Genomic DNA, 16547 nt, shown 5'->3' on the forward strand with positions numbered 1-16547 from the left:
ATAAACCATTCTACCATAAAGACGCATACAGGCATATGTTCATCGCAGGACTATTCACAATAGCAAAGACATGGAATCAACCTAGATGCCCATCAATGATAGACTATATACACACTATGGAATACCACAGAGCCATAAAAAGGAATGCAATCAATGTCCTTTGCAGCAACATGGATAGAGCTGGAGGCCATCATCTTAAGTGAATTAACACAGGAACAGAAAACCAAGTAATGAATGTTCTCACTTATAAGTGGGAGCTAAACACTGAGTATACATGGACACATAGAAGGGAACATCAGACATCCGGGGCCTACTTAAGGGTGGAGGTTGGGAGGAGGGTGAGGATTGAAAAACTACCTATTGAGTACTCTGCTTATTACTTGTGGAACAAAATGGCCAGTACACCAAACTCCTATGACATACAGTTTACTGATGTAATAATAAACCTTCACATGTGAAAACGTTCCTGTCTGACAGCTTTGAAGAGAGTAGTGGTTCTCCCAGCACAGAGTTTGAGATCTGAGAATGAACAGACTGCCTCCTCACGTGGGTCCCTGACCCCAAGTAGCCTAACCAGGAGGCACCTCCCAGTAGGGGCCAACTGACACCTCATACGGCCAGGTGCCCCTCTGAGATGAAGCTTCCAGAGGAAGGACCAGGCAGCAACATTTGCCGATCTGCAATATTTGCTGTTCTGCAGCCTCCGCTGGTGATACCCAGGCAAACAGGGTCTGGAGTGGACCTCCAGCAAACTCCAACAGACCTGCAGCTGAGGGTCCTGACTGTTAGTAGGAAAACTAACAAACAGAAAGGACATCCACACCAAAACCCCATCTGTACGTCACCATCATCAAAGACCAAAGGTAGATAAAACCACAAAGATGGGGAGAAACCAGAGCAGAAAGCTGAAAATTCTAAAAATCAGAGCACCTCTTCTCCAAAGGAATGCAGCTCCTCGCCAGCAATGGAACAAAGCTGGATGGGGAATGAATTTGAGGAGTTGAGAGAAGAAGGCTTCAGATGATCGATAACAACACACTTCTCCACTGGGCGTGGTGGCTCATGCCTGTAATACCAGCACTTTGGGAGGCCAAGGCGGGTGGATCACAAGGTCAGGAGATCGAGACAATCCTGGCTAAGATGGTGAAACCCTGTCTCTATTAAAATTACAAAAAATTAGCTGGGCATGGTGGCAGGCACCTGTAGTCCCAGCTACTCAGGAGGCTGAGGCAGAAGAATGGCCAGAACCCGGGAGGTGGAACTTGCAGTGAGTCGAGATTGTGCCACTGCACTCCAGCCTGGGTGACAGAGTGAGATTCCCTCTCAAAAAAAAAAAAAAACAAAAAACAAAAAACTTCTCTGAGCTAAAGGAATATGTTCGAACCCATCGCAAAGAAGCTAAAAACCTTGAAAAAAGATTAGACAAATGGCTAACTAGAATAAGCAGTGTAGAGAAGACCTTAAATGACCTTATGGAGCTGAAAACCATGGCATGAGAACTACATGATGCATGCACAAGCTTCAGTAGCCTATTCGATCAAGTGGAAGAAAGGGTATCAGTGACTGAAGATCAAATGAATGAAATTAAGCGAGAAGTTTAGAGAAAAAGAGTGAAAAGAAATGAACAAAGCCTCCAAGAAATGTGGGACTATGTGAAAAGACCAAATCTACATGTGATTGGTATACCTGAAAGTGACGGGGAGAATGGAACCAAGTTGGAAAACACTCTTCAGGATATTATCCAGGAGAACTTCCCCAACCTAGCAAGGCAGGCCAACATTCAAATTCAGGAATACAGAGAACACCGCAAAGATACTCTTGAGAAGAGCAACTCCAAGACACATAATTGTCTTGGAGATTCACCAAAAGTTGAAATGAAGGAAAAAATGTTAAGGGCAGCCAGAGAGAAAGGTCGGGTTACCCACAAAGGGAAGCCCATCAGACTAACAGCAGATCTCTCGGCAGAAACTCTACAAGCCAGAAGAGAGTGGGGGCCAATATTCAACATTCTTAAAGAAAAGAATTTTCAACCCAGAATTTCATATCCAGCCAAACTAACCTTCATAAGTGAAGGAGAAATAAAATCCCTTACAGACAAGAAAATGCTGAGAGATTTTGTCATCACCCGGCCTGCCTTACAAGAGCTCCTGAAGGAAGCACTAAACATGTAAAGGAACAACCAGTACCAGCCACTGCAAAACCATGCCAAATTGTAAAGACCATCAATGCTAGGAAGAAACTGCATCCATTAACGAGCAAATTAACCACCTAACATTATAACAATGACAGGATCAAATTCACACATAACAATATTAACCTTAAATGTCATATTTAAGGTTAAACAATATTTAACCTTAAATAGCCAAATAGATGGCTATTAGGTCAGCTTGGTTTATAGGAATTAACCTGTTTGCAGATGACATGATTTTATATTTAGAAAACACCATTGTCTCAGCCCAAAATCTCCTTAAGCTGATAAGCAACTTCAGCAAAGTCTCAGGATACAAAATCAATGAGCAAAAACCACAAGCATTCCTATACACCAATAACAGACAAACAGAGAGCCAAATCATGAGTGACCTCCCATTCACAATTGCTTCAAAGAGAATAAAATACCTAGGAATCCAACTTACAAGGGATGTGAAGGACCTCTTCAAGGAGAACTACAAACCACTGCTCAACAAAATAAAAAAGGACACAAACAAATGGAAGAACATTCCATGCTCATGGATAGGAAGAATTAATATCATGAAAATGGCCATACTACCCAAGGTAATTTATAGATTCAATGCCATCCCCATCAAGCTACCAATGACTTTTTTCACAGGATTGGAAAAAACTACTTTAAAGTTCATATGGAACCAAAAAAGAGCCCGCATTGCCAAGACAATCCTAGGCCAAAAGAACAAAGCTGGAAGTGTCACACTACCTGACTTCAAACTATACTACAAGGCTACAGTAACCAAAACACCATAGTACTGGTATCAAAACAGAGATATAGACCAATGGAACAGAACAGAGCCCTCAGAAATAATATCACACATCTAAAACCATCTGATCTTTGACAAACCTGACAAAAACAAGAAATGGGGAAAGGATTCCCTATTTAATAAATGGTGCTGGGAAAACTGGCTAGCCATATGTAGAAAGCTGAAACTGGATCCCTTCCTTATACCTTATACAAAAATTAATTCAAGATGGATTAAAGATTTAAATGTCAGACCTGAAACCATAAAAACCCTAGAAGAAAACCTAGGCAATACCATTCAGGACATAGGCATGGGCAAGGACTTCATGACTAAAACACCAAAAGCAATGGCAACAAAAGCCAAAATTGACAAATGGGATCTAATTAAACTAGAGAGCTTCTGCACAGCAAAAGAAACTACCATCAGAGTCAACAGGCAACCTATAGAATGGGAGAAAATTTTTACAATCTACCCATCTGACAAAGGGCTAATATTCAGAATCTACAAAGAATTTAAACAATTTCACAAGAAAAAAATCAAACAACCCCACCAAAAAGTGGGCGAAGGATATGAACAGACACTTCTCAAAAGAAGACATTTACACAGCCAACAGACACATGAAAAAATGCTCATCATCACTGGCCATCAGAGAAATGCAAATCAAAACCACAATGAGATACCATCTCATGCCAGTTAGAATGGCGATCATTAAAAAAGTCAGGAAACAACAGGTGCTGGAGAGGATATGGAGAAATAGCAACACTTTTACACTGTTGCTGGGACTGTATACTAGTTCACCCATTGTGGAAGACAGTGTGGCAATTCCTCAAGGATCTAGAACTAGAAATACCATTTGACCCAGTGATCCCATTACTGGGTATATACCCAAAGGATTAGAAATCATGCTGCTATAAAGACACATGCTTTATATTTATGTTTATTGTGGCACTATTCACAATAGCAAAGACTTGGAACCAACCCAAATGTCCATTAATGATAGACTGGATTAAAGAAAGTGGCAAATATACACCGTGGAATACTATGCAGCCATAAAAAAGGATGAGTTCATGTCCTTTGTAGGGACATGGATGAAGCTGGAAACCATCATTCTGAGTAAACTATCACAAGGACAGAAAACCAAACACCGCATGTTCTCACTCATAGTTGGGAACTGAACAGTGAGAACACTTGGACACAGGATGGGGAACATCACACACCAGGACCTGTCAATGGGGTGAGGGGAGGGGGGAGGGATAGCATTAGGAGATATACCTAATGTAAATGACAAGTTAATGGGTGCAGCACACCATCATGGCACATGTATACATATGTAACGAACCTGCACGTTGTGCACAGGTACCCTAGAACTTAAAGTATAATAAAAAATCATATGAGAAAAAAAAACCTTCGCACGTACGTACCCTTTGAACCTAAAATAAAAGGTGGGAAGACAGAAATAAAATAAAAGAGATTGTCAGTGTAGATTAAAAAGTCGGACTCAACTATATGTAGTCTACAAGAAACACATTCTAAATATAAAGATGCACCTGCATAAATTAAAGGGATGCAGAAAGATATACCATACTAACACTTATCAAAAACACCCCCAACATATCTCTATTAATTTCAGGCAGAGCAGCCTTAAAGAGCAATAAAAGTTACCATAGATACAGAAGGACATTACCTAAGAAAAAGGAGTCAATTCTCCAAGAAGACATGACAATCCTGCATGTGTGTATGCACCTAACAACAGAGCATAGAAATATGTTTAATTTACACTTATCTTCTTATGAGCCATGTTGCGTAACTTTTCACATGTTTAAGATCAACTTCCAATTATTTTCCTATGAAATCTCTATGCGTATCTTTTTAATTTTTTCAATATATTGTTGGTCTATTTCCCCTAAATTTGTAAGAACTATTTGTATATGAGAGATAGCACCCCTTTGTCTATGATATAAGTTGCAAACCTATTTTCCTACTCTTTCATTTGTTTTCTGACTGTGGTGGTAGTCTTTTCTTGCCATGCAAAAAATTTTGTTTTGTTTGTCTTTGATGTAGTTGAATTGACCAGTCTTTTAAAATTGTGTCATTATTAGATGAGCGACTTTCTTTCCAGCTCACCTGAGAATGTGTTTTCCTGTTGAGCTACAGAATGAGCATTGGGTATTTTGTGTTCCTCTGAGAAAGAGAAGAGGTGTGTCTGGCAGCCAGGAGTTGACCTGGTCCTATCTGCCGGGAGTTGGCGATGCTGTGAGCTGCCTGGCACCCACAGATGGATGTTGATGTTCTCTTGTGAGCATAAACAATTCCATAGAACATCTGCTTCATACCATATCATTTTGTGCCAATACTTAAGACAAAAACAAGACCTCTTCATAATCATGTCTGAGCATGAGCAAAGCATGAGCATTGTTCATATCACACAAATGACCAATGTCTCTATTCTAGCTAAGAAGAGTAACTACTGTTTCTTCACCAACTACAGCTTTAACGTTCTTTACCAATTATAGCCTTAACCCATTAAGGCTTTAATACAGGTTTACATCTTTCTACATAAGATTTATTAAGATACCCTGCTATGCTAGAATTACCCCCACTTCCTGACAACACCCAATTCAGAACAAAGCCCCATTTCCTTAAACCCTTCTCCCAGATTATTGCCTAACACAACCCCAAATCCTCTAAGTCCTTTCTGATGTCCTCTTAGTGAGACACCCCACTGTTCCCTGTAGTTTGTATTCTCCCTCACTTAACCAGTAATAACTCACTTCTTCAACTACAGATGTGTTCATGGTGGCCTTTGATTGGAGCCCATTAACATCTCCACTTTTCCTGGTAGCCCAAGGGAATGAGGAGACAGTAGAGGGAAAGGGCGGCTGAGGGCTCTGAGCATTGGTTAGAATGCTTGGGCAACAGATGGCTCTTCCTGTTTCAGTACCATGAGGACTCCCCTGGGCATTGGTTTGCTTTCCTCATTCCATGTGTAGCCTTGACTTCTCTTAGAGGAAGTGCACCCTGATGTCCCTCCACCTTGTTTCTCCTGTTTCTCCCCAGCATCTGTTTCCACCAGTCACCAGCAAGTGAAGGATCGTATAAGGACACCCTTCAGTGTCAGTGTGCTTCACTATGCTCAAAATCACCGGATTTGGAGGTGGATGTGGAGGGTGGGGCTGGAGGATGGAAGAGGAACTTAGGAGCTAAATGCTGACCCTCTCTATTTTGCTCCAGAATGTTCTTTTCCTTTCTCTCTTTGAGTCACCAGTTTCTTTACTGTATTAGGCTATGCCCCTTTCCTTGTTTTATTGCTATCAGTTATTTCTTATTGGCCTTTATAATTTTGTTAGTACCGGGATGGAAAACTCTACAATATTGTTTTTTTCCAATACCGAAGGCATCTCCTCTCCTCATCCCTGCTCTCTCCCTCCAGTTAAAAAAGATAAACACTCCCTGTTGACAAATGTCTTTTCTCTTTTCTGTAGACTCTGCGAGTTCTCCTTTCAGTTTATGCTTTTGGAAACAAAAGTCCTTGTCTGTCCTTCAGGTGTGAGTCAGAGCCAGATTCCTGACTAAATGGAGGGAAGGTTAAGAAAAAATACAATGAGAAATTCATTATAAGAAATTATTTTGTTGTCATCTAGTCATGTAAGTTTTGTCTTTAGTGGTGGTAACGTGCTCATTCATCGTAGTTCGTTGCTCATGCCACGTGGTCATTGTCTCATGCTTATGGGCACCTCTCTTTAGTGACACCCACCTATTGGGGGGAGTCCCATTTGTAAAGAATTTTGTTGATGTGCTGAATACAAATTGATTTCCTACAGTCTTGTCTGTTTTGGGCTGCTATGAGAGAATACCATAGACTGAGTAATTTATAAACAACAGAAATTTGGTTTTTTCACAGTTCTGGAGGCTGGGAAGTCCAAAATCCAGGGGCCATTAGATTCATTGTCAGGTGAGTGTCTGGTCTCTGTTTCCAAGATGTCGCCTTGAAGGCTGCATCTTCCAGAGAGGAGGAGTGCTGTGTCCTCACATGGCAGGAGACTGAAGGGCAAAAGGAGTCTAACTTCCTCCATCATTCCTTTTTCTAAGCATATTTAATCCTATTCATGAAGGCAGAGCCCTCATAGCCTAATCACCTCCAAAAGTCCCCACCTCTTAATACTATCACATTTGTAATATTTGATTTCTGGAGGGGATACATTCAAACCATAGCAGATGCTCATGAAAGTAGAAACAGTGGCTAATGCCAGAGAAAGAAGCTGAGGATCTGGGAAGTCTTACTTGTGGATTTTACGTTGTATGTTCCATTCCCACATGTAAATAAATGAGTTAATTGAAATGGAAGAAAATGAGGAAAGATGGAGAATTGTGTCATGGAACAATGGACAGCAGTCATAACATAATGGGTGAAAACAAAGCTCAAATACATGAGGATGATTATATCTTTAATAGCATCTCGAAGCTGTAAGAGATCATCAAGTCTTGACTTCTATGTTAAAAAAGAAAGAAAACTGATGACCCATATTTAAACTGAGGCATGTGACATTTCTGCTCTACTCAGCACTCTTCACTCATCTAACAAAAATTCATTATGGCTTCTTATGTTCCAGGCACTGGGCTAGGTGTTTAAGGAAGACAGAGGGAGGAAATAAAAATTTTTATAAAACAGTCTTTGTCCTCAAGCAGCTCACAGGGCAGAGAGACCCTGACAGAGTAGAGACTTCATGAAGAGTGGGGATGGGAAGGGCATTCTCTCCACACGCATCCCTGTCCCACCTCGGAGATTTCCTCCTCAGAACGCTACCTCTTACTGCTTTCCTGTCTCACTCTTTCCAGCTCTCAGTTTAGAAGGTGTTTCCTCAGAGCACCCTTGCTGACCTCTCAAGTCTGGTGAATGGCCCTTCTCACTGGTGCCTGGATGCCCTGTGTGCTCCTGTCATGCACACAACACAGCATAGTAAAATGCCTGGTGTATGTGTTTGTCTTTTCAATACTCTGAGCTCTGCTCATTGGCAAATCTCAGGACATAGCACAAGATGTGGCCCCTAAACGTTAACTGAATGAACGAATGGAATCACTGGTATCTCTTTAGCTTGAAGAATAGAAAGCCCTTGTAGGACAAAGACGATTGGGAGAAATGTGAAGTCTGGCGTGGACTCTGTCAGAAGACAGAACTGAACCAATGGATGGACTTAGAAGAGAGAGACTTCGGTTTCACATCAGGAATGATATCATAGTCAGAACTCACCACACACATAATAGGTTAGATGAGGGAGGAGGGAGTCCTTCATTGCAGGAGTTTTAAAGGTAAATACAAGAAATGGGAGGCACTTGGCCTGGCGCGGTGGCTCAGGTCTGTTAATCCCAGCACTTTGGGAGGCCGAGGCCAGTGGATCACAAGGTCAGGAGTCGAGACCAGCCTGGTCAAGATGGTGAAACCCTGTTTCTACTAAAATAGAAAAATTAGCCGGGTGCGGTGGTGGGCACCTGTCATCCCAGCTAATTGGGAGGCTGAGGCAGAAGAATCACTTGAACCTGGGAGGCAGAGGTTGCAGCGAGCCAAGTTTGAGCCACTGAACTCTAGCCTGGGCGACAGAGCAAGACTCCGTCTAAAAAAAAAAAAAAAAAGAAAGAAATGGGAGGCACTGAGTTTCTGGCTCAGTTTGCTGATGCCAGAAATACAGAGATGACTGATCAGTAAAATCCACTAAAAAGTGTGTGACAGGTTTCTTTTTCCTTATATTTTTCTTTTTTAAATACAAAAGTAATACCAGCCCACTGAAAATTTGAAAAGTATATGGCATTAAAAAGAGAAAAATAACATCTGATAATCCAACAAGATAAACCCTCTAAAATTTTTCTCTTTTTAAATGAATATAGTTAAGCTTGAAATAGAATTTTAAATTTATCTTGATGTTTTACTCAACAACGTAGAAGCATCTTTTATGTCATTATTTTAAGTCACAAGCACTTTTAGTGATGATGATTAAAAGAACCATTTGTTTTTTCCTTACTGTTCCCTGTTTTTAGATTTTTGGCTAGTGTCTAATTTTTCCCTGTTATAAATAATGCTGAGATGAACAGAATATGTAGATTTCTAATAATTTGCAAATGAACAGCATATGAAAAACATGAGCAAAAATTTTGCAGTTATAATTACTCAACACGTTTTAAATAAATTACTTTTATTTTGAGCGTTCATTCTTAAATATGTTATAGGAAGTAAGTAAGAAGCATTCCTTACTCCTTAGAATTTTGTTTATAAATTAGTGATGAATTGGAAAGGGTAGCTTGCCCCTGGAATTCTCTGATAAGCACAGGTGATGAGGAAAATGGAAAAATCCAAGAATTCCTTTGTCTTTCCTTAATAGTCAGCTTTAAGTGCAGTGCAGGCGTGCCCTCTAGCGGCCAAATAAAAAATAAAGAAATACGGGAAACCTTCAGCATTGTAACAATCGCACGTCCCCATCTAGTGGCTAACGTGTGTAAATGCAGCTTTTCTAATCACAATAGCGAATGTTACTTGATTTATATTTGTCTCATGAGGTGAAGAACTGGGAGGAATCTTAGAGATCACGTATTTCAACTTCCTCACGGAGTGGCATGCAGGCAGCAGCCTTGGGAACCCCGATTGCCCCTCCTCACACCTGCCCATCACAGGACTCGGGCGACAGGGTGGTGAAGTCAGGCTGTGGCCCCAGCGGCGCCACGAGGCCGAAAACAGGCGCTCAGCCTCATCCCCGTGGCTGCAGAGTGCCAAGCGTCAGGTCCTGCGCTCTGGGCGCGGGTCAGGAGCAGCTGGCAAGGGCAGCGCAGCCTGTGGGGCCCTTGGGCGCGGCCGGCCGCAGCTCCGGGAAGCCACGTCAGCCCACGGGCGCTGCAGCTGCAGCCGCCACCAGCACATGGAGCAGGGGTCCCCGAGGATTGGGAATCCCCGACCAGGCCTGCGCCTCCAGCCGCGCGGACCCCGGGGCCAGCCTGGCCGCGGCAAGTCAGGCAGTCTGCGGCAGGAGCGCCGGGCATGGGCTTCCGCCGGGGGTGCAGGAGGCGCGCACCCTCCGGCCGGATGGGGGCGCACTCAGGGCCCAGGAGGCCATCCCACGGGAGCCCCGCCAGCCCCCGCCGGAGCCCGAGCTGCAGTGCCGCCTACAAGTGGTGCGCTGGCTGCAGCTGTGGCAACCCCGGATCCCGTCCTCCCGCCTCGCACCCATCAGCGCGGACCCCGGGGGCGACGCAGTGGCGAAGTGGGGCTGTGGGCCCAGCGGTGGCACCAGGCGGAGAAGCACCACTCAACCCCATCCCTGGGCTGCAGAGGGCCCAGCGCGGGGGACTCCGAGCGTCGGGAGCCTGTGGAAGAGAAGAGCGCGCGGGCGACAGTTAAACAGGCCCTGGGGCAGGGCGCGCCTCGCGCTCCAGGGAGCCCCGCCCTCCCGCGGCACCTCCGCAGCAACCGCCGCCTGCACTGGGCGCGCGAGAGCTGCTAGGGCGGTTTCTCTGCCTCGGGCCTGTTGGGCAGGGCCGGCTAAGGTGCGCGTGCTCGCTGGTTCTAACCCTTCTGTTGGGCGTTTCTGCTGAGAGGCGGGAGGCGCTGAGAGTCTGTGCGGAGGTCCGTGGACAGACTGCTTTGCTCGTTGTTGCTCTTCGGAGGCGGCGATCCCCGAAGGCGAGCTGAAATACGGCTGCAGGCTACAATTTGCAGCCGACGATTATGGAAGACGGCAAGCGGGAGAGGTGGCCCACCCTCATGGAGCGCTTGTGCTCGGATGGCTTCGCATTTCCCCAATACCCCATTAAACCGTATCATCTGAAGAGGATCCACAGAGCTGTCTTACATGGTAATCTAGAGAAACTGAAGTACCTTCTGCTCACGTATTATGACGCCAATAAGAGAGACAGGAAGGAAAGGTAATGGGGGCCGGGAGCCGGGGCTGCGGGAGGAGGCCTGTGGATGTGGAGAAGTACCCCTTTCCAGGCTGAGGGCTGCGGGGCGGATGGTCCGGGGCTCGGGGTTTGGACGGGGGCTAGGGGGTGCCCGGCTGGGGTGGGAGTGAGTGGAGCGGGGCCTGGGGAGTGGCGGTATATGGGGTGGCGGGGTGTGGAGTGAGTTGGGGGATGGGAGTGGGGAGTAGGGGGTGCATGGGGTGGGGGCGTGAATGGGCTGAGGTGGACGGAATGAAGGCTTGGGGGGTAGGGGCGTGGACGGTGTGGGGTGGGGAGATGGGGTGAGGGTTCAATGGGATAGAGGACTGGAGGTGGGGGTGAGGGGTGGGGGTGAATGGGGTGGGGGAAAGGGGTGCAGAGGTGAGGGGGGCGAGTCCTGTCACCAAAGGGGCTGGACTTTCTTTCCTGGCAGGCTCAGCCGCACCTGGGATGTGGAAACCTTGGCGGGGGCGAGCACCCAGGTCATTTTCACAAGCAGCAAAACAAAAACAAAACTTCAGCTGGTTTCCAATCACTCACCATGCTGCTTCTTTATAAATCATTTTAAAGTGATTTCACTAATAAAATTCAGCATGTACAGCGTTTTATTTTTAACGTGCACATTTTAAAGCATAATGTTACATACATTATGGAAAGGTGCATAATGAGAGAAATCATTTCCATAATATATCAACTTCCTGGCTAAAAATTCTTTGGATAAAAATCCAATATTTATTTGATATCAATGGACACCTATGTCAATTTGGTTTTCACTGAGGGACCTTAGAGGGAAACTTTGAAGTGGGAAGATGGTCTGTGTTCTTGAATAGAAAGACACATTTTTCTAAAGTTCTGAGCTCTTTCTGTGTTTATAAATTTTACATAATCCAAATAAAGTTATCAAAGTGTTAACATTTTTGAATTACTCATGCTGTCTTTTACTATTGTGACGACATCAAGAAAACTTTTGAAATGGAGTCAAAAAAGACTTGCCTTTCTAGATATGAAAATGTGCTGTTAATTTCCACAAGTTATTTACTAACAGCTGAAACAACAAATCAGTGAATGGAACAGGTTAGAAAATCCAGGAACACACCAATATGTGTAAGAATTTATTAGGTTGGTGCAAAAGCAATTGCGGTTTTTGCCGCAATTACAAGTAATGGCGAAAGCCGCAATTGCCTTTGCACCAATCTAATAGAATTGGATAATGGTGACATTTCATATTAGTAGGAAAAGATGAATTACTCATAAATGAAGTGCCTGCTAACTATTTGGAGAAATCTGGCTAGATTTTTATGTCACAGAAATAAATTCGTTATGGAATGTAGATTAAAAATTTTAAATGCACAAAATAAGAAAGATAACAGAAAAAAACACAAATGCCTACTTATATTGATGCATGTTTATATTCCTACAAATATCACAAGCACACATTCTGAAGGTCGATTTAGCAAAATAAAAAAAATCCAGTTTATAAGAAAAAATTAACAAAAGACAATATGTGTATATACATATTAGATAAAAAAGTGATTTTCATTTTACAGAGAATTCTTCAAATAAACAAGAACTCTCATTTAAAATAGAGCAAAGCATTTATTTTTCAGATGTTCAAGCAACCTATGCACATGGGAAAAAATATTTAGTGTTCCTGGGAGGAGAAGGTATTTAAGTTAAAAAAGGAATGAAATACTATTTTCTATCACAAGTTTGTGAGGGTAAAGGGTAGCAGTACATATACTGCTGTTGAAAGTTTACATTTCTGATGACTTTTCAAATAGACAATTTTTTGGTAAGTATCACACTGTAAAAATGTATGTGCCCTTCACCCATCAATTCCATTATACTAAAATATCTCTAGGAAATAGAGATACATGCAATTTGTTTTTCTCAGCACTGCTTAAAATAGCAATGTATTTGGAAAACCCCTTATAATGGATTTTATAAATTTTATAAATTTATCAATAAATTTCAGTGCATCCATAGGATGGGACAATATGGGACCTTTGCAGATGTCAGTAGATACAGATGTATGTTGAGGTGTGAAGATGTACTCTGAAAAAAAGTTGGTTTGATTATACATACACACAAACAATCTATGGTGTTTGTAAGCCAAATATGTGTACAAAATGTAACATTTCTTCTTTTCTGGCAGGTGTATTGTGATATTTTCTCTTATCTGTGATGTATAAATGATCAGTATGTTTAAAACTTCTAGTAAATGTTTTTTATTAATGAAATTATCCTTGGAAAAAGAAGAAATATAAATCTTGCAAAGAAAAAATAATTCTCAGTTTCTATTTTATTTTATTATTTATGTCTTTGTTTGTTTGTTTATTTTTGAGATGGAGTCTCACCCTGTTGCCCAGCCTGGAGTGCAGTGGCATGATCTCGGCTCACTGCAATCTGCCTCTCAGGTTCAAGTGATTCTCCCACCTCAGCCTCCTGAGTAGCTGGGATTACAGGTGTGCGCCTCCATGCCCAGCTAATTTTTGTATATTTTAGTAAAGACGGGGTTCACCATGTTGGCCAGGCTGGTCTCAGACTCCTGACCTCAGGTGATCCCCGTGCCTCGGCCTCCCAAAGTTCTGGGATTACAGGTGTGAGCCACTGTGCCTGGCCTTATTTTTATTTTTTTGTTTATTGGTATCTTCTGTGAACTTTTAGCCTCTTCAGAGGCAGAGGGAATATTTTTATTTGTGCTTGATTATTTTATTATGCATAGATTTTAGTACATAAATAGGTTTTTATTATAGTTTTATTACATATAAGGAAACAATTTTAAATTAATTATTTTAGTTTATCAGTGTCCTCATGAAAATGAAAATGAGCAAATATAAGTGATTATCACTATTCCAAAAGCACTGCTTTAATTTATAGTTTTTTTCATAATAAACTTCCCAACTGTATGTATGCATTCTTTCAATCCAGTTATTCATCAAGCATAACCTGAATACCTATTATGTAGCAGACAGATTCCACCATCTCTCAGGACTCTTCCACCCTTAACAACTTCATGTTTACCTGCCCAGCCTGAGCAAGCTGAGATTTAAAATGGAAGCGTTAGGACTTAATCCCAGTTGGATCTTTTATTCCTTTTTTTTTTTTTTTTAAACAAAAGCAATTCTGAAGTTAGAAAATAGTGAAAGATAACCTTTAACTGCCATTTCAGAAACTTATGACACTCTCAAATACTACTATTAATCGTTGCAAATACCTAATTTACATAACATTCTGTAAGTATTGAAAAAAATGGGCCATACCTATTCATTTGAATCCTGAGTTTTCTTTGGATTATTTTTTTTTTTAAATTGAAGTGAGAATTACTTTGTTTTAAAAATTTGTTTTTTTATTTTTGCCTTCTTTTTCCACAGTACTTTATTTAGGTGCCAATTATATGAGTAGAACTGCCTGTTCTATGTACTGTATCCCACTTAATGTAAGGCATCACGGATTGGGTGATGCCACATTACTTTATATATCAATAAGATAATGTTTAAAATGTTGCCAGTTATAAATGTAATAAACAATTAATTGTAAACAGTATTCCAATGTCAGGAGATGTTAATATATAAGAGAATAGTAGCTTATATAAGAGAATGGTGAGAAAATGAGCATCTGAGAATGACTGAAATACAATGATACATCTAATCTTTAATAGATACCTCAATGTAGATATGATTGTATCATTTTACTTAATTAAAATGTCTTTGTAGGTAGTAATATCTAAAAATTATTGAGCTGTTATTTGTGTTAGAAAGTGTTCTAAATGCTGTGCATAGATTCTTATGTAAGCATCACAGCAGTGTTCTGTGGGCTAGCTACTATTCTCTTATATATTTTATTGATAAGGAAATTGAAGCAAAGAAAGGCTAAATAACAGCTAAGTGACAGAGCTTACAGTAAATTTTAAGCCCCAATTAAACTGAATCCAAAAGCCAAGGCTTTTCTATTAAATAGCCTGCTCTTTCATTAATGTGGTGAGTAATAAGCGCTAACAAATGTTGTACTTTCTTCACAAGAAAATTACATATTTGTTTTGAAGACAGAGAAATGACATGCTAATTAATGCTTACAGTTACATGTTTTAAAAAGTCCTGTCACTCTCACAGGACCGCCCTACATTTGGCCTGTGCCACTGGCCAACCGGAAATGGTACATCTCCTGGTGTCCAGAAGATGTGAGCTTAACCTCTGCGACCGTGAAGACAGGACACCTCTGATCAAGGTATATAGTAGCTGACTCTTTGAGCATGAGATGGATTTGGTTGAAGTACATAGGATAAAATGAATTTATCTCATTGGAATACCACCATATAACTAGTAGGAAATCCTACGGAGTGTTTATTTTGATTTTTCAGTATTTGCATGTTTCTCGGTCTAATACTGACAGGCTGTACAACTGAGGCAGGAGGCTTGTGCAACTCTTCTGCTGCAAAATGGCGCCAATCCAAATATTACGGATTTCTTTGGAAGGACTGCTCTGCACTACGCTGTGTATAATGAAGATACATCCATGATAGAAAAACTTCTTTCACATGGTACAAATATTGAAGAATGCAGCAAGGTATAGGTCAACCAATGTTATTTTCAAACTATCTGAAATGCATTTATTTTAACATTGACACATGTAAGGGTCAATTTTTCATATTTGGAAGCTCAAACATTCCTTGAATGAAAATATTTTGAAATGCCTTAACTGTCTAAGATTTTACTTTAAATATTGGAACTTTTAAAGAAGCATTATAGGGAACAGCCTTTTTTCATGCACTTATGGTAAATAACTATAAAAACAAATGAATTACAATAAATTTATAATTCATGACAACTGAATTTGGGAAAGGTAATAGTTAAGTGTTTTTCCACTAAATTACTTTTTTTCTAATCAGTGTGAAGTGACACAGGAAAGTAAAATTGTCCCTTATAAATAGGCTTTATTTTAAATGTCAAAGAAAATTAAAGAATTTCACAATAAATGTACATGTTGTTGCTGTTGAAAGTGTTGTATGTGAAGGTGATTTCATTTGAAAGTGATTCCTCTGTGGAAAGGCTTAAGAGGGAAAAATGAAGAAAAGGAGAGCAATCAGAAATGCACAAGCTAATTTGGAAATTAGGTAATGAGGGAAAATACTGTGGAGAGGGTTTTTGTGTGTTTTGTTGTTTGTTTTCAATTTATATGTTTAGACAAAGATCGCTTCAGTTTTGGGGATGATTATTCTTACTTTGGGAAAGAGTTTGTGAGTTGTGAAATTGCCCAGGGATCAATTTTGGTAAGACTCTGAGGAAACCAGGTTGGCAGTGAATAGTGGTGATGAAGCGGCACACAGTTCAGCAGAGAGAAGAACACATAATTAATGGACATTATTCAATTCTGGCAGAAACAGCCACTCAGATAAGCATCTAAACTCTACTCTCAAGTCCAGAATGTCTTGATGGGCAGGTGGGAGATACGGAGCTTATAAATAGTAAAATCAAGTTGGATTTTGAGCTTACTAGTCTCTTCCCTACCCCTACCCAGGAAAAGTAAATGAAGTCTTCAGTGAATGGCTCTATCTTTTGCTCTTTCCTCTTTTCGGCCAAATCCCAAACGATAAAGGGAATTTGCCACGTGGGTGAGAAATGAGACTGAAGTGATTATCAACTGTGCTGGTTCGCAGTT

General features: G+C 41.3%; 1 protein-coding gene across 51 annotated transcripts in view, besides 4 other annotated features; it reads left to right on the plus strand.

Annotated features, from left to right (window-relative positions):
• Positions 9541–9640: an enhancer, noted in NCBI's record as "active region_16236". NCBI's record gives its function as "activates an Ori minimal core promoter by ATAC-STARR-seq in GM12878 lymphoblastoid cells {active_cell/tissue: GM12878}" and the evidence as "EXISTENCE:reporter gene assay evidence [ECO:0000049][PMID:35858748]".
• Positions 9891–10270: a silencer, noted in NCBI's record as "silent region_11789". NCBI's record gives its function as "represses an Ori minimal core promoter by ATAC-STARR-seq in GM12878 lymphoblastoid cells {active_cell/tissue: GM12878}" and the evidence as "EXISTENCE:reporter gene assay evidence [ECO:0000049][PMID:35858748]".
• ANKRD36 (ankyrin repeat domain 36) overlaps positions 10091–16547 on the plus strand; it is a 151369-nt gene continuing 144912 nt past the window's right edge. For 45 of the 51 annotated variants that reach the window (XR_007074204.1, XM_017004009.2, NM_001354587.1 and 42 more), the window contains exons 1-3: positions 10091–10874; positions 15002–15116; positions 15282–15455. Coding sequence is in view for 50 of the 51 variants with exons in the window: in XM_017004009.2 (XP_016859498.1) it covers positions 10678–10874; positions 15002–15116; positions 15282–15455 (486 nt within the window). In the remaining variant the exon portion in view is untranslated. Of the gene's footprint in view, positions 10875–15001; positions 15117–15279; positions 15888–16547 lie in introns of those variants that run through there. The other 6 variants (XM_047444243.1, XM_047444245.1, NM_198555.4 and 3 more) reach the window with 5 other exon arrangements.
• Positions 10351–10480: a silencer, noted in NCBI's record as "silent region_11790". NCBI's record gives its function as "represses an Ori minimal core promoter by ATAC-STARR-seq in GM12878 lymphoblastoid cells {active_cell/tissue: GM12878}" and the evidence as "EXISTENCE:reporter gene assay evidence [ECO:0000049][PMID:35858748]".
• Positions 10601–10830: an enhancer, noted in NCBI's record as "active region_16237". NCBI's record gives its function as "activates an Ori minimal core promoter by ATAC-STARR-seq in GM12878 lymphoblastoid cells {active_cell/tissue: GM12878}" and the evidence as "EXISTENCE:reporter gene assay evidence [ECO:0000049][PMID:35858748]".

This window comes from Homo sapiens, chromosome 2 (assembly GCF_000001405.40).
Source record: "Homo sapiens chromosome 2, GRCh38.p14 Primary Assembly".
Classification (NCBI taxonomy): domain Eukaryota; kingdom Metazoa; phylum Chordata; class Mammalia; order Primates; family Hominidae; genus Homo; species Homo sapiens.